This window comes from Homo sapiens, chromosome 20 (genome assembly GCF_000001405.40).
Source record: "Homo sapiens chromosome 20, GRCh38.p14 Primary Assembly".
Lineage (NCBI taxonomy): Eukaryota > Metazoa > Chordata > Mammalia > Primates > Hominidae > Homo > Homo sapiens.
The window spans coordinates 10,586,138-10,612,922 of record NC_000020.11 but is presented as its reverse complement, the minus strand read 5'-3'; the positions used below and the strand labels follow the sequence as shown (position 1 = coordinate 10,612,922).

Below are 26,785 nucleotides of genomic sequence, written 5' to 3'. Positions count from 1 at the left end.
TACTTCAAGCATTTTTGTAAGATTTGTATATGATTAAATAAAAAAGGTAAAACATGATGATTAAAAAAATAATAATAATTAATGGCTGGGCGTTGTGGCTCATGCCTGTAATCCCCGCACTTTGGGAGGCCCATGCGGGTGGATCAGCTAAGGTCAGGAGTTCGAGACCAGCCTGACTAACATGGTGAAATCCTGTCACTACTAAAAACACGAAAATTAGCCGGGCGTGGTGGTGCATGCCTGTAATCCCAGCTACTCAGGAGGCAGGAGAATCGCTTGAACCTGGGAGACGGAGGTTGAGGTGAGCCGAGGTCACGCCACTGCACTCCAGCATGGGCAACAGGAGCGAAACTGCATCTCAATAATAATAATAGTAACCCAACCAGAGTATTTTGAAAAGTAGGCAATTCACAGTAGAATATTACAAAACATAGTCTTAGGGCATATTCAAAATGTTACTGCTTCTCGATTCCTCCTAATCACATCTGCTGAGAATGATACACCCAGAGTTGATCGAATCAGGCTGAGGCTCCTGGCACACGAGTCCCAGCACAGAGGTGAAACGGAGTGGAGTCTAAGGTCTCATGTTCATTGTTGGCTTGTCCCAGGGCCAGCTTCTCAACCCCTTGATGGTTGGTTTCTCATCTACCTTACAGGACTGTTTGGGAAATTTAAATGCAGTGAGGTGTAGGAAGCAACTTTGGAAACTGGAGAGTGTTGAACACATTTTCAAATGTGATGCCTTCACAAACCATGTGGGGCTGGAGAGAAGGCAAGAGTGCCTTGTATTCATGAAGAACTCATATGATTCCCAAAGTCCTTTTCCCAACATCTCATCTGGTCCCCAAGGAGTATTCATCAGGGCAGGTATTGTCACTATGTGATGGATGAGAAGAATGAGACCCACAAAGACTGAGGCCGTGCATGTAGTCAGGGGCAGAAATGAGTCTAGGAGGCCTGCTCCCTGTGCAGTAGTACTCTCTTCACTTTGCCCAATGGCCACAGTATCATTTGCCATCATGGTTAGATATGGACTTATAGAAAGAGAAGAGCACTTTGGCTCCAGTCCTCTCTTGGTCACTACCTGACTGTGATATTTGGACAACTGACATATTCTCTGAGCACCAGTTTCTTCATCTATAAAAAGAGAGATGATAATAATGCCTCTATGGTGGATACTCATTCAGTTCCTGGAAGCAATGCTCAGATTTTGTCCTGGAAAATCACATCTTCAACCCCCATCCATGTCCATGCATTTCAAGAGACCTTGTTTCCCTACCTGACTCCAGAAACTGGCCTGTGGCTCAGGCCAATCAAACTACTGAACTAACAAGCCTCAAAGAGATGCATCAGCCACAGCTGTCCTGGCAAGAGGCCTCACCTCCCCCTGCTGGAAGGATATGGACCTGAGGCTGCCGGGACCAACCACCACACATAAGCTGAGAGTGAAGCCAACACAGTGGAATCTGGAGCCAAAGATGGTGAGAAATGGAGTCTTAATGATATTCTTTGTGTCTCTGATCAAGCTGTACCTAAAGCCTGGACTTTTCAGGGGCATGAGACAAAAACCTTCCTTTTTTGGCTAAGCTGCTTTGAGTTGGCCTTGCTGTCTCGTGAAAATGAAAAGGTTCAAGACTGATACAATCTCTTCTCAGGTTTGTTGCACTGAATAGGTTATTGTATGCGACAGCCCTCTGCAAATAATTAAAACCTTCTGCCAACAATAAAAGCAGATTAAAAGTGTAATATATTATCAGCTTATTTGGGGGGCATATAATAATGTTAAAGTATGAAACTGGAACATTTTAATTTGTAATGAGGCAAAAAGAACGTTACAACCATACTTTAGTGGACACCTCATGATTTTCAGGAGCATCAGCGATGTGAAATATGACACATAAGAAAGCCTCAGTTAGTTACAGAAAAGCAGTGCAAACAGAGCATGAATGACAATGACTACAATCCCAGACCACAAGGCAAAATGGCTGCGCAGAAGCCACCTGTCTTTAAAATGAAGAAGTCTCTCTTTCCTAAATTTCACTAATAATACTTTTTAAATTTTTTGATAATAACTAAGTAAAAAGGGCAAAACAGGTGGGACAGAGTCGCAATGAATAACGAAAAGAAAAGATGGAAACACACAAGCATGTATGTATTGACTCAAGGGAACTGAGGCAAACAGGAGGTGAAATGAAAAGTGGCATCGCATGAATTCCACTGGGACTGAAGTTGTTTTTCTCTAAAGATGACAATGATGATGGACATTTGTTCTGAGACCAAAGGCAAAACACTTGGCACAGGGGCTAGCACCTGGTATGTGAGTCCACGTGAGACATGCACGAGGCAGACATGACCTTCCCCATTTCAGACTTGAGGATACTGATGCTCTGGATGGCCAAGCCATCTGCCCAGTTCCCACAGTGAGGGGCAAGCCTTCATTCCACACGTGTCTGGCCCAGAGTCCGTCCTCTGAGGACTTCACTTCTCTGCCTTCCCATGAAAAGGGCGGGTCTCTAAGGGGAAGTGAGCCAGGGCTGCTGATAATGCTGTCATTTGGGTTAGTAGTGAATACTCTCATTTTCTCTTTAAAATTATTTTTTAAAAGTTTTCTTTTCTTCTGAATTGATGCCAGTGAAGCTCTTGTGTAGATCTGGGGAAGCACCCATAAGTGGCTGCAAACAGTATCACCCTAAACATGAAATCGGTGAAAATAATCAAGGAAGTTATTTTGCAGGAAGTATACATTTCACAGGGATTTTCCAGTTTACATTCACCTACCCTCAAGAACCTAAAAATATATCCTGACCAACCTTAGCCTCTATGCTCAAATCTCTGGTGCCAAACAAGTGTGACAAACTTGGACATTTTGAAGAATTTATGGGTTTGGGCCAACACTTGACATTGTGAGGCTTATCAACTGTTCTGAGAATTGGATAGAAGCTATTTAACTTTGACCAGAAAAAAACATAAAAATACACATTTTTTTTTTAATTTTAAGGAATTCATGAATCATAGGCTAGTAACTCCAGTTTAAAAGTAGAAGGGAAACATCTGTAAAAAATAGAGAAAACATACTAGGAATTATCCAAGGCAGAGTTGGGCCACTTTAGGAGGTCTTCTTGTTAAAAAAAAATGCCTTCTCTGACAAAGGCCTGTGGTTGAAAAGTGCCAACACCTGTGGGAAGGTAGACAGACCTCTTTCGGGATGATGAAAGAAGGATAATGTCTTTCCTAACATCTCACCTGACTGAGCATGTGGGCCTGAACAGGGACATGGTGGAGAGAGGTGGGTAAACATGAAGTCCAGCTGCGCAGGGAGTAGGGCTAACCAGGAGAGAGCCCACAGTAGCCCTGGGCACTGATGGGAAAAGGGTCTAAGAGCTAGAGAGAACACACCACAGATGATTGTCTCATTTCAAAATTCTGCTCTGAGCTGGCCTTCTGCCCAGGGATGTGGAAGGAATAGCTCTTGCCATTTCCCTGAGATACAGATACTAAGGCCTCCTCTTTCCAAGACTCAGAGCTCATGATAGTAACAGCTTTTGTGAACTAGTCTGGGAACCTCATCCCGTTATGACACTGTATCCTTGGGAAAATGAGTATTGAATTCTAAATCATCTGCTAACTAATGAACTCTCTGTGCTATCACTGTGGGTGTTCTGATGAAGATGGGCTTTTAGGAATTCAAGCCTGAGAAGTCTGCTGTCTCTTGATTCCTACGTACTTTAGAGAGGTGACTGGGTTTTTCCTCCAAAGCCGTATCTCAATGTGAGTCTGCTGGCAGCTACTGGAAATCGAAGGTGTTGAGCTGGGTGGTCGCTGCTCCTTCTCCTCCTCCTCTTCCTCCTCTGGATGTTGGTTAACAGAACTCCCACTGAAGGTCACAAGTTTTTGCCTTTAGCGTGTCTCTTTCTCCAGCACTGACTGGCTGGCTAAATGGGGGTTTATCACTTAACTCTTTGGTACTTTAGTTTTTATAGCTGCAAAATAAAGTTGAGCTGGCAAGTGGAGAAAATAATTAGGGAGTCGAGTTTCTTGGGAAAATATTAATAATATAAGCAGAATGATAGTGTCAGGTATTTTTCTCCTTTCAAGCAGGAAGGAGAAGATTGTACAGCAGTCTGTTAATGTGGCGTTAATTGCATTTAAATGAAGACTTCTTCAGAGAAGAAAGGAAATGATGTTGATAAAAATTAATACTGTATAAGTGCCTTAGACTTTCTATGACCTTTTTTTTTTTTTTTTTTTTGAGACAGAGTATTGCTCTGTCACCCAGGCTGGAGTGCAGTGGTGCAATCTCGGCTCACTGCAAGCTCCGCCTCCTGGGTTCACACCATTCTCCCACCTCAGCCTCCTGAGTAGCTGGGACTACAGGCGCCTGCCACCACATCCGGCTACCTTTTTTTTTTTCCTGTATTTTTAGTAGAGATGGTGTTTCACTGTGTTAGCCAGGATGGTCTCGATCTCCTGACCTCGTGATCCGCCCGCCTCGGCCTCCCAAAGTGCTGGGATTACAGGCATGAGCCACCGCGCCTGGCCTTCTATGACATTTTAATATTCATTATTTCACTTGCTCTTTAGGAAAACTTGAGAACGCTGTACAGAAAGTATCATGTTTACCTTTGCTTAACAAGTTAGGTGACTAGTGCTCTTGTGAAGCCAGATGACTTGTGTAAGGTCATCAGTGAATAAGGGGAGAGGCAGTGGTCAAAGCCAGGTCTTTACATTTTAACTCAAATCCCTTTTCCAGTTGTTCTATTCCCCACCACGTTTTTCCTAATCAAATCTATCAAAGGGTTCATCAATGGAGATCACGGGCCTCTGCACAGGCAAAGATACACTATGAGAAAAAAACCACAAAGGATTGGGGATGGAGATACATCCTATTCCAACTTATCCTATCTAATGATCCTCATTCATTTAACCTATCCTATTCTACTTCAGCAAAGGGCAGGTTCCCTTGCAGGAATGGCAGTGGTGGGAGGAGGCACAAACCATGTTTTTCACAAATACTGGCTAAACATTTGGGAAGATTTCATTATTAAGAAAAGAGAACAAATTTCATTATTAACAAAAGAGAACTCAGGTTACTGTAATATACAAGCAAAAGACAATCTTTTAAAAAATGATCTCACCCTAGAGATTTTTTTTTTTCTTATTTTCTCCATCTTAGTCTAGAGAAACTAACCAACAGAGGACATCTTCATCCTCACTACCAGCATTTTCAGAGGGTCATCTCTCTGCCAGTCCCTATAAGGTTGGGTGGGGATGGTGGCTATCCAAGGAAAACAGCCCATCGTAGGCCACTTGCTGAGGGTGTGGCCCTAATCTATTCCTTAACTATCTGTTGAACATGTTCTGACCCTGAGCCTTGGCCTTAACTGATTGGAAAGGGACAGGGCAGTCAGCCTTGGGAGGGGGCAAGCACCATGAGAATTCTTTCACACTAAACAGTAGTGTGACTTAAGAGAAGTGTTCTATTTAGTGCTTAAACATTGTCTCTTGGCAGTATGTCCCACTAATCTTTCTACTTAGATGATGCTAGTGAGGACTAGCCTTGTGTGGCTGATGCAGGTCAGCAGAACCTTGATGGCTATTTTGGCCACAGCTCAAATGAAGCATAAGGCAGAGAACCCAAATATCTTAGTGTCATCAGCGAAATCCAGCTGCTAAGGGGCAAAAGAGAGTCTGCTCCCTACAGATGCCTCATTGTCATGTGTGCACTGACGGTGTGGCAGAGGCAGACACAGCTCGGCTGTCCCTTAAACCTAAAGACTATAATTAGCATAATATTGGTCACTACACGGAATAAAAAGGACCTCATATCATAAACTAAAATACATTCCATAAAAGTATCAGAAGAAAATACAAGTGTTTATCTAATTTGAAAAACATAACACCAACATCATCGAAAGCAGAGATCATTACAGAAAACACAATTCTGAGGAAAAACAATGCATCCTACCATACAGCACTGACATACAAGTGAAAGGAAAATAATAAACTCACTGAGAGTTACTTTCCTTACTAGATAAGAAGTCTTCATGTAGCAGAGTTTGTCAAATACAAAATCATCAGTAAAAAAAATGGACAGAAACACATAACTGACAAATAGGGTCCTAGTTAAAATACATACACACGGACCTCAGTTTATTAAGTATGATGTATGAAGAGATACCATCCAGATCACTAGCAGAGACTTTGTGTTCAGGGTTGTGGCTAGTTTTTATTTTCTTTATATATATTTGGATTAAAAGCTTTTTTGTACAATGAATATGTACAATATTGGTCATCAGTTATTAGGTAAAATCTAAGTTCATAACATTGTGGAAAATGTGAAATATGAAAACAGCCTCTCTCTACTCAAGGAACTTTCCCTAGTGCTACAGGAATCTCTTGTTAATATCTTCCACGCAATTCACCACTAGCGTTGTTTAGAAATAAGAAAAATAAATTTTTTTAACTCTATGATAGATCATGAAAAATCTGGAAAAGTCATCCACTACTTATTTCATTTTCTAAACACAAAAATAGAGAATTCTTTTCTTGAATGATCTGATTTATACTTATGCAAAAGTTAAAGGATTCTGTCATGAGGGTACAAACATCAGTGCACAGTCAAATGTTAATTAGCTTATTTCTTCTGTTCTAAAAACATAAGGCCTATAATGTTAGCTTATAATTTCTATTTACATCTTTCTTAAGATCAAATATAACTACCCTGGAAGTTTTTCTAATCATAATTTTTTAATCTGCAAGAAAATTTCTTCTTTGTGCAAAATTATTTTGTAGTTTTTATTTAGCTACAGTTTTATTTGCTTCCTCCAATAGAAATCCCATGTGAGAAAAGATTTTTGAGATAATTTGATACCCTCCCCCTTGAATGAGAGGAGGGCTATGGCCCACAAAGGGCTGGATTATGCACAGCTGAGGACTATAACAGCCAAGCTAAAAATAACTCAGCCTTCAATAGTTTATTTGAAGTGAAAATGAGTCTAAACTCATTTTCACTTCAATTTTGTATTCAAAAACTAGAAGGACATTTCTTTACCACTAAACAGTAGTGTGCCTTAAGAGAAGCAGCTGAGTTAGTGCTTCAATATTGTTTCTTGTCAGGATGTCCCGGTAATCCTTCTACTTAGATGATGCTACAGTGAGGACCTAGCCTTGTATGGCTGGCCTACGTCTGCAGAGTCTTAACAGCTATTTTCACAACTTGAACCACAACTCAAATAAAGAGTATAAGGCAGATAACTCAAATATCTTAATGTATATGTCCACTTGTAGGCAGTACTAGCACTACAAATCATTTTTTAATTTCCAAAAGGATCACAGACTTTGAGAGCTTCGGTTTAAAAGTAAAAAAAGTAGGGCTGGGGGATTTTGGACTTTCCTTCTGAGGAACGGCAGAAGAGATCCAATGGAACCCTTAAAGATACAGGTGCAGAGTGGAAAAATATTTAGGAAAAATGGAGGCCCTATTTGAATGACATTTTTAGGTCACCAGGATATCCTTCAGCAGCCTTGATCTGCCAAACTGTAAGCTCCTTGAGGGCCAACACACTTTCTTACTTTTCTTTGTTTTCCTGGTGCCTACCAGAGTTCCCAGTATAGAGCTGGGACTTAGCAAATTATGTTAAAATGTGATGGTAAAAACAGATGGGAAGGCTGATCTCCAGAGACTAGAAGGAGTGGCTGTAACTAACACACAATGAAATAGTAGCTTTGTCCTGACCCAGAAATGTCCCAGATATATACAGAGTTCTATGGTTATTTACACAACTTTAACAAAGAAATAATAAATAATTTTAAATTTCCCAAAGGCTCCAGGACTTTACATCTGAGAAAGAAAACAGTTTCTACATAGGCTTTTGGGTTTGTAAATAAGAAAATATTGTTGGAATGGAATGTAGCTGAGCGCAATCAAAATTCACTTTATGTTCTTCATATTTCCAAGGAAAAAAACGGTGAGGAAAAAACAAACCAAATAAAGGTAAAAACTCTCAAAAGACTCCCCAGTCCTATATCTAGCAATAGGTCAAAAACTGAGGCTACAAGAGTTTTTAGATTTCTTATGAGAAACTCTAGTAAGAAAAATACAATGACTCATTTCATAATAATGTCCTTTCTTCCCAAAGTACACATCACAATTCCCACATCCCTAGCACATGGGCACTCTGTGCAGAGCTATTGCAACACAGAGGATCTCCCTGCACCAAAGTCCCTGAGTGGACAAGAGAAACGCAACAGTGACAGCAGGGACAGACCTCCCTGGCGCTGTGGTGCTTAGGGGCAGCGTGGCTGCATTCGCTCTGCTCCGTAAAGGAGGGGGATTACTCCCTTTGTACTGCCTGATCTGGAACAGCAGTTCTTTTGTGCAACCACCTTTAAGTACTGGGGAGCTAAGTGCAGCTGGCTTCCTTGTCTACAGGTTGAAAGAATCCCTTGACAGAGGAGTTTTGAATAGACGCTCCCAGATTTCCTAACAAATTGTCACTTAGACATTGAGAATCCAAAAAAAAAGATGAAGGAAAGGGAATGTGTGCTCTCAAGGCTACAGCACGAGTAAGGCACCCAGGCTGTTGCTCAAGTACTAGTTCACTCCTCTGTCACTTCTGTGGCTGCAGAAGAGTGAGTTAAGTCAATAGTTATACAAAAACAACTGAAGTTTATTGCCAAAGAAATCTTTCCAACATAGCTACTGCGGGTACCAATTTTCCCAGCCTTGCCCAGTCAGATGTTCTTGAGAATTGCTATCCAGAGAAAATGAGATGGATCCTGCCCTTTGGTGAATATCCATGTAAAGTGATATAAGAATTCAAAGCTTGAAGCAAGTCCAGGGAATACTCACAGGAGCCTGACATCACTGGCTGTGGGCATTTGAAGTATGGAACAAGTGATAAGAATGCCTTCTCTCAGGCAGAAGGCAGTTCTGGAAGGGAAGGGCTGTTTATTGATCCTTAAATAGCTGAGACAGGCAGACTCTGTAGAGGTCAAATATCAATGAGAATTAAACTACAAGACACTTCTGGTGGAAGGATGGTGTAGTTGGCTTGATGGGTCATTTGTGGGAGAGGGACCTTTACTTGACCTGGGTCTTTTATTGCTTCTAGTAACAACAGGCCTGAGGAAGTAGTGGGCTGGAGGCCTGTGAGGAGGGGAGGTGGCAGAGGTGAGCAGGCTAGGCAGAGGGACGCACAGAGCTTGAGCCCCGAGATGAAACTGTTGAGTAGTGCCAGGCTTTAGCTGACATATGTGGCTGGGAAAATGTATATGTGAAGAGACAGAGGTGGAGTAAATGAGCAACTGAAGAGACAGAAACTGACCACAACTAAAGACAATCACTCAAAACAAGGAACGAGCCTCATGATGGAAATGGCATTTTCCTCATAAGTTAATGTGGTTAACTCTGGTCATGTTATCACTGGTTATCAGAACATCTTAAAGATAAAGAAACTGAACTCACTCATGTAAAAGGCTTAGACCGGTGAGAGTTTCAGAATGAAAATTCTCAATGTTTAGGAAGTCCTCCAGATTATAGGATTTATATGACAGCCGGTATAGAAAACTTACATCTGTATAAATACCAAGGCCCCTAAGGGGGATAATATTTCATTTGTATTGAGATGTTTTAATCCCTCCTTAATAATTTAAGATACTAAGTATTAATATTACATATCAGATAGAAGATCTAATTTCTCCTGTATTTCATTTGAAAGTAATAATACTTTCTGGAACAGTTAATTGTTGTTTTCTTAAACCCATAGATCAATTTCTTCCTTGCTCTGAATCAGTTAAGCTATATTATATTTTAGATGTATGCCAATGGCATTGCCACTTTAGTATTTATTAGTTTACGAAGATAACTCAACATCCTGGAAATATTTCAAAGGACAAACTTAATACTTTTCACCAAATTTGCCTCATTCATTTAATGTGTATTCTTAAGAGTTTGACTGATGGATGAAGAAGAGGAAATATGAACCACACTGGCTGTTGCAAAGGGTTCCTCTGCACCAAACGCAGACATCTAAATTTAAATATAAGTTCTCTGCTCTTTACTTTTCCTGGGTCTCTATTCACCCTTGTAGCCTCTGAAACACTCTTCTTATGTATTTATTTAAGATGAGATAAGAAGCTGGTTTTAGATGATGTGGGCCAAATTTCAGATTTCATACGGATTAAAAAATAATAAACATCAAGGGTAATCTAATATTCCCATAAATTATTTTAGAAGCATAATAATCATGTCACACTTCATGGCCCGGTTAATGTCTGTTGGATTTTTTTTCTGTTTGTTAAAGATTCAAGTCATATGTCCCTGTTTCTTAAAGATTCAAGTCATACGTCCAAAAATATGAAAAAAAGTCTGTGTAGAAGTCAGGCAGACTGGACTGTGGCTGCAGGAAACACACACACGTGCAACAAGGAGATTCTCAAGTGTACATGTTCAGCTTAAAAGACAAAGCAGTCAGCTGCAATTCTGAGTCAGTTTTATCTATTTGTCTGAAGAGACAACTCCAATAAAACAGAAGCAGGCCCTGCTGGAACTCAAGACTTAGCATGAGAAAAGGGAGACAGAGAAGGAGACAGAGAGACAGAGAGACAGAGAGACAGAGAGAGAGAGAGAGAGAGAGGGAGAAAATGAACCCTATCAGCTATGAAATAATACACTGGGGAAAAGTACTGGTTCTCATGAAAATGTCGGTGATTCACCATGGAATAAAATTTAAAAGCCACTGACCCCAATGAAAGCCTCCAGTGGAAACATGTGGATTTTGCTTCATTTCACTTAAAGACTTTTCTTTATTTCATTTAAACACTATCATAAGCACCATCACAGCTTTTGTGATGTGTTGCTTTCTCATTTACAGTTGATATGGAAAAGGTACTGCTGATTAAAATGGTCTTGAGGAAAAGAAGAACAATACACGAATTAGTTGATATTACCACGTAAAACAGGTAGGGCTTCTTGTTCCCTTAAAACATGCGTTGGGTGCTCATCAGCTGAATGACAACAGCAGACAATTCTTGTTTTCTATTTTTTACAGTAACTCAGCATTTAAGCAGACTTATTTGTTTATAGAATTTTTTCATACTCACCAAATCTTCATTCTGACTTGCTAAAAGATCACGACTGAATGCAAGCTGACTGACACAAACCACAAATCTGTCAGGGAATACACAGAGTTCTGTATAAAATGAAGAAAAACAAGTTTAAAGGTGTCAAAAAACTATAAACACAGAATGGTTGTTCCAGATTTTTGTTCATTTTAAGTTACTGCAATATGCACATCCATATAAAACATACGTCTCTTCTCTCCTCCCATCCTTTCGGTGTTTGCCGTCAATAGGGCAGGGTGAGCGCAAAGCTCTAGGGAGAGCTGATGAGGCTGCAAATTGGTCCACCTGCGCCCCGGGACCATTACATTACAGGAAACCCCCAGGCAGAACCTCTGTAGCCTCCCCTCTGTGTCAGTCAGCTGTTTTCTGATTAGAACTCCTATTTAGAAAATAGGATCAATGTTTTCAAAATGAGCATGTAACACTTTAGAGGAAGAGGAAGAATATTAGATAAAATCTAAAAATGTGACCTATCAATGTTTTTCCTAGTTACTTTACTTATCATCTCCTTGGTTAGCTAGTCTTAGAGAGCTCCCCGACCCTGGAGGGCAAACTACTAATCTGAAGCAGGCTGGGAAAACAGCAGCTTTTCTTAGGAATTAATGATCCAACTATTAAGAAAATGGTTAAATATACAATAAAGATGGTAAAATTACACCATACTCATAGTAATCTATTATTGCTGCTTCTTAAAACAAAACCATTGACTTCTCATTGGGAAAGACTGAATAAATCACTGAACTGGACTCCTCGGCATTCAATGAAAGGAAGGCAAGATGGTAATGACATCTGGATCTTTCCTTTTCTCATCTGTCTGTCCATCCATCCATTTGTTCGCCAGCCTCCAGCTACCCAGGCATGATGTCTGGAGTGATGCTAAGCTGATGCCAACAGGGTATGTTCCAGGCGGGTGGGGAGGGGGCTCTTCTCCCTTTTTCCTACTTGGTTGTACTGCTTGAATATTTTTATGATATACATGTCTGATATTTGTGATAGAAATTAAGTCATTTTTCTAACAGAGAAAGCTTCCCTCTTACATGAGACCAATTTCTTTTTAAAGATGGATATTATGAATCAGGTGAGTAAAGCCTTTTAGGTACACTGCACATGATGGCAATGACTGAGGTAATAAGGTATCTCAATTTGATGCACCGCTTGGAAGCCAAGCAAGAAGGTGTCAATTACATGGACACAGAATTTAAACAAGTTAACACCTTACACTACTAGACTAGCTTAAATGATCCCAAGAGGCCCAATGAGTTGTTGTTCCAGTAACAGCTCTCTCCTTATCCCATCAACCACTGCTGTCTCCTTGGCAGTCACTCTCCCTATTCCAAGTTATCCTATTCAGAACAGCAGGTTAACAGTTCTAAAAAAAGAGCTCCACTCATCCTGCTCAAAAACCTACCATGGCTCCCCAGTGCCCAATATTCAAAGCCCTCCATGATTAGGGATTAACCTGTTGTTCTGGTCTCACTCCCAATTAGCCTTCCTCATGAGGAAAGCCCCCATTTCAGGTGGGGGCCTGGGTTTTTTTCAACTTTGACCCCATGTGGGCATATGATATCTGGCTAGGTGACTAGAGGTGGATTTTGAAAAGCCAGAAGAACAAAATTAGCAAAGCAATTAATATTTATTCATTAGTTCTTAAAAGATCTTATTGCGATAAATGGTATATAGCCTTTTTATCATTTTATGGGAGGGAAACTGAGCCACAGAATTCATTATTTTTCCACCTCCCCCCCCTAAAAAAATCATAAAATTGAAATACAACAGTTCATTAGTGGATCAGAACTGGAATTCAAAATTATCAGTTCTATCAAATAATTCCTCGGTATTTGCATTTGTTCCTCTGAAAAGTAACAATGTTCGAATGGCAGATTTTAAACATTTTGGTGCTGCCAGGTATTAACAGAAAGCAACTTCTGTACCCTTTTGCTCTGTTTAGGTCATTATTGAGAGTTGTACTATTTTAATATTTAATTAAATATTTAGGCAATGATAGTCCTTACCATAAAGGGCACAAGTGCAAGGTTAGCTGACTTATTTTACTAGAGAGTTGAACAAAGTGGAAGGACCTGTTAAGAAAGCAGTATATCTAAGGCTGGGCATGCTGGCTCATGCCTGTAATCCCAGCACCTTAGGAGGCCAAGGCGGGAGTACAGCTTGACCCCAGGAGTTTGAGACCAGCTGCAACATAGTGAGACCCCTTCTCTACCAAAAATTACAAAAAAAAAAAAAGCCAGGCATGGTGGCACACACCTGTGGTCCCAGCTACTTAGGAGGCTGCAGTGAGCCATGATTGCACCACTGTACTCCAGCCTGAGTGACAGAGTGAGAACTTGTCTCAAAAACAAACAAATAACAGCAAAAAAGAGAATAACATATTCGAGCAGAGTTTACAGTTAAGAAAATGCAGATAATCATGAAGATTCCACAGCAAGCCTCTATATGTTAATTTTTTAAAGTTCCTATATCATATCTTATATATATACTGAAATTGTCCATGGAAGGTGAACTAAATTTTCTTTCCAGTGCTCAGATCAACCTGGAGAATGATCATTAGCTTCTGACTTTACTGTTGCTGGCTGGACAAGTTTGAAATCATATCCTTAGTGGACATCTAGACTTGGGGAAGTGATGGGGGAAAGTGGCCTCATCACACACCTAGGGAAAGCTCTGAGAGCTCAGGGCTGGGAAAGAGCTTTCTTGTGTACACACCTGCTCCATATGCCAGGGCTTTGGTGTGCACAGACAATACTGAAGTGATTCATAGTTCAACTGTGTTGAGTCACTCTGAAAACTCAAAGAAAGTGCTGAGATGCATCAGGAAAGGAAAGCATGATGTGGCCCAGCTCACTGTTCTTAGAGAGGCAGTAAACACAGTACAAGGTGGGAGGAAAGAAATCGCAAACTTTCGGACACACTCAAGACATGAAGGCAATGAAGCAAGTGGGACTCTCCACTCCTTAATTTTCATCCCTTCTCTATCTAGGGCAAGCAGATTGTGTGAAATGTCTGACAAACCAAGAAATCGGCTTCTTACCAGCATTCTGTGTGCTCCTGATGCAGCGAAGGCGTATCCCTCTCTTGAGGAAATAGGCTGTGATTTGAAAGCCATAACCTGGAAAGTGAAAGGGAACATCACTAAGTTAAGTTTGTTTGCCGCTAAATCTCTGGAGTTCAGCCCAGTGCCTGCCATAAAAGACACATTCAATAGTTATTTAGCAAATGAAGCTGAGTGTGATGACTCACGCCTGTAATCCCAACAATTCGGGAGGCCGAGGCAGGCGGATCACTTGAGGTCAGGAGTTCGAGACCAGCCTGGCCAACATGGTGAAACCCTGTCTCTATTAAAAATACAAAAACTAGCCGGGTGAGGTGGCGGGCACCTGTAATCCCAGCTACTCAGGAGGCTGAGGCAGAAGAATCACTTGAACCTGGGAAGTGGAGGTTGTAGTGAGCTAAGATCACTGCACGCCAGCCTGAGTGACAGAGCGAGACTCTATCTAAAATAATAATAATTAGTAAATGAAAGAATAAAGGAATTAACAGAGGGCTTCTCTTGAGAGGCAAGGGTGAACATTACTATCTTGCCTCTTCCAGGAGGCCTGACTATGACGCTGGCATAGTCCCTAGTCCCTGAAGTCCCTCAGTTACTTCAACTGTAAAACGAAATAAATGAGGTCTAACGTACTTTCAGATGGGATAATTCAGTCGGAGCTTGCGAATAGATCTTAGCCACCTTCTCATACTCACTGCTTATTAGCTCATAAAAAGAAGCAGTTCATACCTATTTGAACATGGATGTATTTTGCCTGTAAATAAATTAATTCAAGTATGTCAAAATCTTCATATAGAATGAGATTAAAAGAAATATGACATGAGTAAAAAAATAATTTCTCCAACTCACCAGAGTGGCCTAAGTGAAAGAGACAGAGCATAAAGTGTTGGCAAGAATGCAGGACAACTGGAATTCTCATACGCTGCTGGCAGGAGTACAAATTGGTACAGCCACTTTGAAAAAAATGCTTGAGTATCTAAAGCTGAACTTAGGCATGAACATACAGTGTTCACAATAGCACTCTTCACAATAGTCTCAACCTGGAACCAATGCAAATATCCATCAACAGTAAATTTTTTAATGGGGATATAGTCACACACTGAAATACTATAGTGCCTCTAAAAATGAATGAGCTACAGTTATAGGTAGTAACAGAAATACATCTCACAAACATAATGTTACATGAAAGAAGCCTGATCCAGAAGAGTAAATGCCATCTGTGAAAATGGAGACACTATCATTCGTCTCATAGGGTGGCAACAGATTTTCAGATGATTCACAGAAAGTGCCAGCTTAATTCCTTCCTCTCTCCCTTTCTCTTCTCTTCTGGCTTCCCTCCAGGTATAAACTACTTTGTTGATGATTTTCCTGAAATCACAGTAAAACCGTTCCTGGTTATCGCAGTCAGCAGTCAAGTTATTTGGTAGAAGAATCAGAAGCAAAAGCTCCACCAGAGTGGGGTGAGGGTCCCCCTCTGTCAAACTGGAGTGGCCAAGAGTTGCAGGAAGTAATCTCTAGGACCATCAGATTCTCCAAAGTCCATGACTATGGTTGGTCTGAAATAACTTATATAAAGAATACAATTAAAGAAGTTTCCACTTTCATATTCAGTATCCTTCCGACACTCCTGTAGAAAGACCCAGGACATGAGTGACCACAGACTTGATGCTGTCTAAACAAGCGATGGCTCTGACAGAACAATTGCTTTAGTCATGCAGATTGTGCAAGAACAGTGACATCTATGAAAGGATAATCTCCGGATTTGCTGAGATAAAATAATTTTTTCCTAACACACTTGAAAATAGATTGCATTTCAGTCATGTGGCTTTCTTCTGCTTAAAATGTCAAACAAAATATACACACCACTGACATTACTCTGAGTGCTTTAAAACAAATACGTTATTTCTTAGGTCACTGAGAGAATGGAAGTCATTTCTACATCTGTTTATTTGTCCAACTGCTGAGGGAAGAAGTGGAATCCTTAACAATTGGTGACTCACAAACACATACAGCAAAATTTAAAAGTATTTTTCAAGTATTAATTTATAATGCAAGTCTTCCAAAGAACTGAGAAAAAAAAAGTATAATATCTGTTATTCTACCTTTGCTGATATATAGCTCTAAGTGATTAAGATTCAGGAGGCATGTTCGAAATTTCAAAAATCTTCTTCCTATGCAAAATCTTTAGCAATAAAATGTTATTATCAGGCCCAGTGTGGTGCTCATGCCTGTAACCTCAGTACTTTGAGGGGCCAAAGTGGGAGGATTGCTTGAGGCCAGGAGCTCGAGACCAGCCTGGGAAACATACTGAGACCCCGTCTCCTTAAAAAAAATACAAAAAAACATTAGCTGGGCATGGTGGTACACGCCTGTAGTCCCAGCTGCTCAGGTGGCTGAGGCAGGAGGATTGCTTGAGCTCAGGGCTTCAAGGCTGCAGTGAGCTATGATCACCACTGTACTCCAGGCTGGGCGACAAAGCAAGACCCCATCTTAAAAAAAAACGTTATTATCAGGAAGGGGCAAAATCTGAAGTTGACCATGAAAGCTACAGTTTTGAGTCCAGGAAGCCTGGTATCTGAAGATACTACTTGAGTGACAGCTAAATCCTATCTGGACTGCTGAACAATCAAGTCTCAATATGACACCTTCCCCTATAGAAAAAGAAAGCAGTATAAGGCAGATTTCAAGTGATTTGTTACTGAAATTAGTAGGAGAAATGAGTTTATTGAAACCTTGACCCCTACACCTCCCACCCCAGGACAGAATTAAGTTAAAAGGAATCATTTCTAAATAGCATCTTGTTATTAGTGGTTTCAATGGAAAACCTGCCCAAATGGCACCTACAAGAGAAATAGCAAGTTTAACATGTAAAAAAGATTTGCACCTGCTTAATCCAAATTCGACTGGTCATATGAAACTTTGTTTAAAGAGAAACTTGAGGAGAGATTAAACACAAAAGGTACTATGCCAGTTCTTATGGCAAACTAAATTTGATCTATAAACAGAGAAAATTATTGCTGCTTGAAACATACTGCACTGAAATGCTTAGAAAGATGTATTTCATTTATTCATAGACAAAAGGCAATGATAAAGACTACATTCTTATCTTTGCTTTTAATGAAATCAACTTCACAGAGTTCAGGAGGCCACTGAGATTTTGTACTTACCCAGGGCTAAAGCAAAGCTCCACTACTCTCTAAAGCTAAACAGCAATTTGGCAAAGGATCCAAAAGTCCTTTTGCTTTTCCTACTTGGGGCACCAGCTCCCAGCTCGCTATGCTGGTGTTTTAAATGCAGAAAACCTGAGTCAGCAGAGCAAATGGAAATCATAAAGTGATCATCTTTTCATCTGAAAACTACTGGATGATGGTATTAATATTATGAGGCACTTGCAAATCACATTTCAGTATGCCTGTTTCCTTGCTGGCGACTGTGGTGCTCCTAAATCTGAGAAGACTGTCTTTAGACACAAGAAGGGATTTGGATTAGAGGGAGAAAAAGCTTTGCAATAGAAACATCTTACCACCAGGCGTCTGCAGGTATGTGCATTTCCAGAAACAATTGATATTTTTGAATTGCTTAATGTAACACAATCATCTAGTATCAGCAAGATCCCATCTTCTCCCCTGGCCTCCAAGCAGCCCAAAAAATCTCCAGTTCTTGTGCCACCATTTGCTCTCTGTATGTCGTAAAAAGCTGTTGCACTTCTCCTTATCCTTCTACAAACAACCTCCAAAGCATGAAGCCTCAAATGATTACTTGTTACCACACTAACTTTCTTCTGGCTTACCTAAGTTGTTCATCAAAAACTATTGAGTCTCTTTAAAAAAAATGGAGAGGTGGTCAGTAATGCATATGAGAGAAAGAAAGGACAAACCACAGTCCTCCTACTATTTTATTTCATATTCTGTCTAAAATAAGCTGCTCCAAAATGGCTCTACTAGAAATTTGCAGTCTTCATAAACAGAAAGGCAAAAATTACGACAAAAAAACTCAAATATGAATTGAACAAATTCCATCCTGGCTTAGCAAGGCAGTAGATTAGTTTCAAGTAGTACCATGTTCCAATGAGTAATGGTTTTAAGGGAGTGGTCATTTATTTGGGTTGTCACAGTTCACAGTCCCAAGACACTGAGAGCAAATATTCAATGAGAGATTTTACTGTAAAACTATCCAGCCTCACTTGTTTTCCAGGGGATTCATAGCTAAGGCGACTTGAGCTTCCCCACAGCTGCCAACGGGAGTCTGTGGTCTGGTGCGTAACAGTGGGAAGTCCTCTCCCACAGCTATTACGAGACCATTCATGGACGAGCCTGGGAAAATGCCTCTGTGTGGCTTGGTGAGCCATCAGGACCTCCGGGCAGGTGAATTCCACTTCATTGTGGACCCCACCCACCACCTGTGTGGCTCTCTTCCAGCAAAGCCTTCTCCCAAACTACAAGGCAGGCTCAGGAAGACCTACGATGCCCCTCAGTACTTCTCTCCCTGAGATGACTCCATTATTATCATCACTCACACAGTCTGAAACATTTCAAACATTCAGAAAAGTAGAAAAATAATGTCATGAACATCCCAAAACCCACCATCTAGATTCAATAACAGTTAATATTTTGCCGTATTTCATACACATATTTTCTAAACTGCTTCGAAGTGGACATCATGAAACCTTACTCCTAAACATGTGAGCACAGCTCTTGAGCAATAAGGAAATTCTCCTTCATCACCACGACACTATTATTACAACTGAGTATGACATTACCGATCAAATAATCAGCCTATATTCAAATTTCTCCATTGTCCCAAAATGTGTATCACTGATCTGATTTTCCTTTGAATCGGATCCAACCAAAGATCATGGATTTTAAGAGATGTATTTGCTTATATCTCTTTTAATCTAAAATAATCTCCCTTTACCTTTTAAAAAAAGAACTCTGAACTTTTAAAGAGATCAGGCTAGTTGTGTTATAGAACAACCCCATTCTACATTTGAATTTTTTTTTTGACAGGGTCTTGCTGTGTTGCCCAGGCTGGAGTGCAGTGGCACAATCACAATTCACTGCAGCCTCAACCTCCTGGGCTCAGATGATTCTCTCACTTCAACCTCCTGAGTAGCTGGGACCACAGGTGCATGCTACCACACTCATCTAAGTTTTAAAATTATTTTTAGAGACATGGTCCCCCTATGTTGCCAAGGTTAGTCTTGAACTCCTGGGCTCAAGCGATCCTGCTGCCTGGACCTCCCAAAATGCTGAGATTACAGGTGTGAGCCACTGCACCCAGCTAAGCTTTTTTTTTTAACCTCAGTTGCCTAAACACAAAATTTCAACCTGTATGCTCTTTTAAAATGCCAGCCATTTATTAATTTTGACTTCTCCTTTAACTGCTGTAGGAAATTACAGGTTCAAACTAAAGCTATAATGACAATTCAAAGACTGGCATACAGATGACCTGAAAATTTGGTCCTAATGATAATTTCAAAGAAATAAAATTATGGATTTGTAGATAGTTAAAATTTTGGTGAAGATAAGCTTACTTAGGTAGGTTGGATAGTGGTCTGATATTTGCTTTAAGAAAGGGCACTTTGTCATAATCAGATTACTATGTGCTAACCCGGAAGCAGCTCTGCATTGCACGCCAGTTCAGACATGTGACTGTTTCCAGTCTGAAGTCATGAGTCAGTTCTCAAGCTTGGTTGTGATTTAATAAGAGAACAGGAAGAAAGAGGCTGATACCAACTGAGTACTGACAGTATCTTGGGTATTAGACTAGACTAGGAACATATAATATACTTAAAAGATGAAGAGGCTAGGCACAGTGGCTCACGCCTGTAATCCCAGCACTTTGGGAGGCCAAGGTGGGCAGATCACGAGGTCAGGAGATCGAGACCATCCTGGCTCACATGGTGAAACCCTGTCTCTACTAAAATAAAAAAATTAGCCAGGCGTGGTGGCACGCACCTGTAGTCCCAGTTACTTGGGAGGCTGAGGCAAGAGAATCGTTTGAACCCAGGAGGCAGAGGTTGCAGTGAGCCGAGATCATGGCACTGCACTCCGGCCTGGGCAACAGAGTGAGACTCCATCTCAAAAAAAAAAAAAAAAAAAAAAAAAAAAAAGATGAAGAATACGTGTGCTTTCAAGCTATTTCATTAAGGAAAAATGAAGTTGTAACTCATTACATCCCAAACTGTGTCACTCAGAAAGTTGCACCTTGTCCTTATCAAAAGGCCTAGGGTAGAAAGGGTAGGGAAATCATGAGTTTGATGCTGTCACTTCAAACATGAAAAGAGACTAAGTATGAGATGGGGCCTATGAAAAAGCCTTGATGGGGCCTTTGGAAACATGTTATGGGTCCAAGTGTGACCTCCTCTATTGCTGGTGATGGGGGGGGGTTGGAGAAAGGGGTTGTTCTGTGGGAACTGAAAACCAAGAGTCCTGTCCCAAGTTTAGGAATATACATACGGGATCCTAGTCTAAGACCACAACTGGGAAACAAATTTGGTGGGTAAGTGGAATATTTGATCCTAGGCTAAAAATTTCACTTATTACCCAAGACATTTAGAGATTCCAAAAAGGTTCCCTTGAGATAACATTTCATGTCCCTAAATAAGGACAGTACTAGACTCTGAGTCACAATAAAGCTATGTCTATTTGATGCCAAAACAAATGGAGCATGAAATGTTTCATGAATAAAATCATTATTTATAAAATAATTCTTCGGAGCCAAATTTATTTAGAAAAAAACACCCATTTTCTGCCTGTCACCCTTTTGACTTTGTAGGTAATGCCAGAGGGCACATGTGCCACAAATTTCATTTTCTGTGGGACCCATCAGAGATTGTTCACATGGAATAAGAAGGCTTTTCAGAGCAGACAAAAATTAGAATAAAACAAATTGAGAAATGATCACTTCAGATTTCTTCCCCATGTTGCTTTCCCACTTTTTTGTTTATTTAAAAAAAGGCCCTTAACATTAAATATGAAAACTGTGTTTGGATAACACGCAAGCATAGATGAAATGATATTCAAAACTATGGTTCCCACAATCATAACTCTGCCAGGCCATGCATAATGATAAGAATAATATAATACTGTGTACTTATAAAACTCAAAGTTCTCTTTAAAACCCTTCACTCATCTTTAAATAACTATACACAAAAGAAACAGAGATGTTTAATAAGCCTTCTAAATGAGGTAGCTGCTTGTTTGAACTATTAGCTGTTCAAGCAGGCCCCTCTGCAATGGATTTCAAATTTCCTGTGCATACAGAGGAACACCAGATGAAGCATATCCTCTGTGGCCTCCCTGTCTTGCAGGGAATCCATTTCAACTCTGAGATTCTAGATCATGTGCAATGAGAAAGAGAGTTCATGAACCACTGGACTATTCTAACAGGACCATGGACCCAAAGGACAAGAAACAACCTTGGAAGTCTCCTAGTTCATTTCCTGTTTGTCAGCCAGGACCACATTAAAACCATCTTTTAAAAACAACACCAAAATGCTGAGTGAGAAGATGCTATACCTACCTATGTGCCACTTTATCTGTCCTTTATATGAACTGAGATTGCAAACTTAATGCCTGAGGGGTAAGACAGGTAACAGGAAAAGGGTTGGGTTCTGACTGGAAAACTGGAGAGAGCTCAGGGCTTGTTTAAAGGGGACAGCAGTGATTTTCAAACTCATCGGAAACTAGGGCACAGGGGTACCAGAAAAGCTGGAAATCCAAGTTTTTATGTGAAATCTCTTCAAATTTTAACTTTGCAAACAATTCAAACTTTTAAAATATATTGTGTGGTCCAAATAATATGTCTCTGAGAGCCAACGTAGCTTTATATTGTCAGTTTGCAATCTCTAACTTAAATTCTTCACACTTCAGTTGAATTTCTTTTTTGTGTGTCTTCGGCAGAGCTAAAGGAAAGCTGGCCACTACCAAATGCTTGAAGATAGGTATTCAGTTTCAATTTAGTCATTTATTCTAAGCTAAATAAACCCAGGTCCTTAACCTTACTAAACAGGGCATGTTTTTCTACGTTAAAATCATCTTTCTGACTCTTAGGTCTGACATTAAAGATACTCAGCCGGGTGCGGTGGCTCATGCCTGTAATTCTAGCACTTTGAGAGGCTGAGGCGAGTGGAATGCCTAAGCTCAAGAGTTTGAGACCAGCCTGAGCAACACAGCGAAACCCCATCTCTACTAAAATACAAAAAATTAGCCGGGTGTGGCAGTGTGCGCCTGTAATCCCAGCTACTCCGGAGGCTGAGGCAGGAGAATTGCTAGAACCCGGGAGGCAGAGGTTGCAGTGAGCCGAGATCGCGCCACTGCACTCCAGCCTGGGTGACAGAGCAAGACTCTGTCTCTAAAAATAAAATTAAAAAAATAAATAAATACATACATAAATAAAATAAAATAAAATGATACTCAAGGGTTTGACTCAATATGGGGGAAAATGAAAAGATGATATAATTTTAGAAATCATTAATTGTATAAATGTGTGGGATCTGCATTAAAAAATTACAAAGTTTTCATAATTAATTAGGAAAAGGTCTTAAAAAGATTAATATACCATGTTCTCAACTGGAAGGGCTAACCATCATAAAGATGTGAATTGTTCCCATATTTATTTGTTTAACAAATATGTACCGAGTGCCTATTGTGTACCAGACAATTCCAGTCAAATATCACAATGAAACTGTTATTTTTTATGTGTGTAAGGGGAGGAGGCAGTTTGGAAGCTGCGAAAAATAATGCTAAATTTAATCTAAAAGAATAGTTAAAAAAAATTCAAAGTAAAAAAAATTTTTTTCCTAATTAAAAGTAACATAGACTCAATGTATTTTTAAAAATCTAGACAAAAAAAGGTGTAAAGAGAAATGAATCTTCAACAATCCGACCACCCAGAGACCCTTTGTCACTTTCGACTTTTGATATCTTCTAGGTCTTTTCTCAAAATATATAATCACATATACTCTTATTTCTTTCTACAAAAACGAAATCATATGATGAATGTTGTTTTATAACGTGATTTTTAAAAACCTCAGTACTATGAACATTGACTTTGTGTATGATACCATTTAGAAATCCGTTTTTATTCTTTCCCAAATGAATAATAAATTGAGTATTCAACAGAAGATCCCCACTGATCCCTGGTTGCCAGGTCTGTCATACACAGACCTCTCTTTCTGACTCACTTTATTCCACTAGCTTATCATCAGTCAGTTAACACTATGTTAATTACCTGAGCTTTATTTATAATAAATCTTAATCTAGTAGGGCAATTTCCTTTCCTGACTCCCAACATTATTTTTCTTCTTCATCAGGAGTACTTGAAGTTATTCTTGGCCTTTTATCCTTTTATTAGCTTGTCCAGTTGCATGAAAAGCCCTTTCAGGGTTGGATCAGAAAGACCTTGAATTTATAGATCAATTTGGAGAAAATAAACATCTTTATGATAATGACACTTCCCATACATTTGACATGGTAAATCTCCTAATTATTTTTAATAACTTATTTAATACCTTCCAATAAAGTTTTTTTAGTGTTGTCATGTAAATGTTATCTCCTAAAAACTACATTTTTAAACTGCCTGCTGTTGTAACTGACTTCTATATGTTGTCAGCTGAAATGCCTATTAAATCTTTTTTCCCCACCTTTATTGGGGTATAATTGATAAATAAAAGTTGTATACATTTAAGGTATAGAACATGATGATTTGATATATGTATCTATTGTGAAATGATTACCACAATCAGGCTAATTAATACAACTATCACCTCATATAGTTATCTCTCTTTTTCTTGCAGTGAGAACATTTAAAGATCTCTCTTACCAAATTTCAAGTATGCAATGATTATTAACTACAGTCACCACAGTGTACATTAGATTCCCCAGAACTTATTCACCTTATAACTGATAGTTTGTGTCCTTTGACCAAATCTCCCCTTCCTTCCCTCATTGACCCCTTCCCCTAGCCAGACTCTGTCCCTACCCCTGCCTCTGGCAATCATCATTCTACTCTCTGCTTTTATGAATTAGGCTTTTTTAGATTCTACATACAAGTGAGATCACACAGTATTTGTCTATGTCTGGCTTACTTCATGTAGCATAATGCACTCCAGGTTCATCAGTGCTGACACAAATAGTAGGATTTCCTTCTTTTTTTATGGCTGAGTAATGTTCCATTGTATACATACAGCACATTTTTAAAGATGCTAGTTTCATTTCCTTTGTATATATACCCAGACGTGAGACTGCTGGATCATATGGTAGTTCTGTTTCTACTTTTCTGAAGAATCTCCATACTGTTTTCCATAATGGCTGTACTAATTTACACTCCCATCAAAAGCATGCAAGGGTTCCCTTTTCTCCACACCTTCACCAATACTTATTATCTCTTTTTATAACAGCCATTCTAACAGGTATGAGATGACATCTCACTGTGGTCATAACGTGCATTTCCTGATGGTAAATAACGTTAAGCACCTTTCCATATACCTGTTTACAATTATATGTTTTCTTTGGGAAAATATCTACTTAGGTCCTTCCCCATTTTTAATTGGGGTATTTAATTTAGTTGTTTTCTTTCTTCCTTTTCCTTTTTTTTCTTTGCTATTGAGTTGTATGAGTTCCTTATATATTTTGGATATTAATCCCTTATTAGATATATGGGCTTGAAAATATTTATTCCATTCTATAGGTTACCTTTTCATTTTGTTGATTGTTTCCTTTGCTGCACAGAAGTTTTTAGTTTGATATAGTTGCTTTTGTTACCTGTCTTTTGGGGTCACATCCAAAAAAATCATTGTCAGGACCAATGTCAAGGAGCCATTTCCCAACTTCTTCTACTAGAAGTTTTATGGTTTCAGGTCTCACATTTAAGACTTTAATATATTTTAATTTTTGTGTATGGTATAAGATAAAGATCCAAGTTCATTCTTTTGCATTTGGATATCCAGTTTACCCAGAACCATTTATTGAAGAGACTATTCTTTCCCCATTTTGCATTTTTGGTGCTCTTGTCAAAGAATATTTGGCCATATACACATGAGTTTATTTCTGGGCTCTCTATTTTGTTCTGTTGGTCTAGGGCCCATTTTTACGCCAGTGCTATTCTGTTTTGCTTGCTATAGCTTTGTTTTAATTTGAGTAATTTGTATGTATATTTATTTTAGATTTTTCTGCATATACAATCATACCATGTACCAAAAAAGGGACTTTTCTTCATCTCCAATTTTTTCACCTGTATATTTTTTTCCTGTTTTATTCTTTGGGCTGGAACTCCTCCAGTAGAGTGTTGAATACTGCTGCTGGTAGGTATCTTCTGGTGCTCCTTATTATAAAGCTAACACTGTTAATGTTTCACTTACTACTGAGAACATTTGTTGTAGACTTTTTGTAGACATATTTCTAATTTTCTAAAAATTTTTATTATAAATACTGGTTGCTTTTCCTGTACCTTGTATAATTGTTACATGCATTGCTCTTTTTAATTTATTAATGTTGTAAATATTACAAATTGACTTTTAATGCTGAGCCAACTTTGTATGATATCATGATTTTGTTTTCTATATTGCCAAATTTAGCTTGCTAATATTTAGTTTAGGATTTCTGCTTTTATATTTGAGTGAGATTGACCTGTAATTTTCTTCTCTTTTATTGTCCTGTTTTTTTCTTTTCTTTTTTGATCCTAGTTTTTAGTGTCAAGTTATAGTAACCTCATAAAATGAATTGGAGATGTTAACATTTATTCAAGTACATAAAACTGGAGTTACCTAGTTCTTAAATTTTGGGGCGAACTGTCCTGGTAAAATATCCAGACCTGGTGCTTTCTTTTTTAACCAGTGGTTTAAATTCTTTAATAATCTATTCAGGGTTTATATTTATTCTTAGCTCACATTAACAATTTATATTTTTCTATGAATTTTTCTATTTCACCTTAGTTTTCAAATTTATTGGCACGAAGTTGTTCTTAATAGTCTTTTATTTTAATTTCCACCTAATTTAATTATGTCTTTTTTCATTACTAATACTTCTATTCCTGATCTAATTACGTCTTTTTTTCATTACTAATACTTCTATTCCTAATATTTCTCTTCATCTTTTTTTCCCTCTTTATCACAAATTACTGCATACCTATCATTAACAAGCTGTTAAGCCAAAATAAGCAAGAAACCATTAGTCTGGGGTTGTTTCTGTACTAGGAACCCTTACATAAATAAGCAAACCAAAACTTAACTTAGAGGCATTCCTTGTGACTGATTAATTTTGAATGGAGCTTCAGCCAATCGCAGATAACCAACTAGCAAATTCGTTATATTAACTAGGGACTTTCTATTGAACCATATCCAAATAAGGCAAATGCCTAGCTATAACCAATCAAGTAATTTCTTTACTTTGCCTCCACATTCAGCCTATGAAAGCCCCCTGCCCATACTGCTGGAACGGAGCTCTCAGAATCTCTTGTGGATTTGAGTGTTGCCTGATTCATGAATTGTTATTTGCTCAAATAAACTGTTATATTTATTTTGTCTAAAGTTTTTCTTTTAACAAAGTCAAGTGGGAGAAGGCAAGGATCATCAGTAGCCATAGGACTAACAAGAGA

General features: G+C 39.1%; 1 protein-coding gene across 1 annotated transcript in view, besides 2 other annotated features; it reads right to left on the bottom strand.

Moving 5' to 3' along the window:
- SLX4IP (SLX4 interacting protein) overlaps positions 1-26,785 on the bottom strand; it is a 192,726-nt gene that overhangs the window by 15,108 nt on the left and 150,833 nt on the right. Inside the window, exons 5-6 of the mRNA NM_001009608.3 lie at positions 14,171-14,248; positions 11,104-11,192 (exon numbers count right to left, since the gene is read on the bottom strand). Coding sequence (NP_001009608.1) covers positions 11,104-11,192; positions 14,171-14,248 — 167 coding nt within the window. The remainder of the gene's footprint in view (positions 1-11,103; positions 11,193-14,170; positions 14,249-26,785) is intronic.
- Positions 13,711-14,910: an enhancer, noted in NCBI's record as "CDK7 strongly-dependent group 2 enhancer chr20:10578661-10579860 (GRCh37/hg19 assembly coordinates)". NCBI's record gives its function as "activates an origin of replication core promoter dependent on BRD2, BRD4, P300/CBP, MED14 and CDK7 cofactors, with strong dependence on CDK7, by STARR-seq in HCT116 cells {active_cell/tissue: HCT116}" and the evidence as "EXISTENCE:reporter gene assay evidence [ECO:0000049][PMID:35650434]".
- Positions 19,668-19,962: an enhancer, noted in NCBI's record as "tiled region #11569; HepG2 Activating DNase matched - State 14:Gen5', and K562 Activating non-DNase unmatched - State 24:Quies". NCBI's record gives its function as "activates a minimal TATA promoter and a strong SV40 promoter by Sharpr-MPRA in HepG2 and K562 cells {active_cell/tissue: HepG2 | K562}" and the evidence as "EXISTENCE:reporter gene assay evidence [ECO:0000049][PMID:27701403]".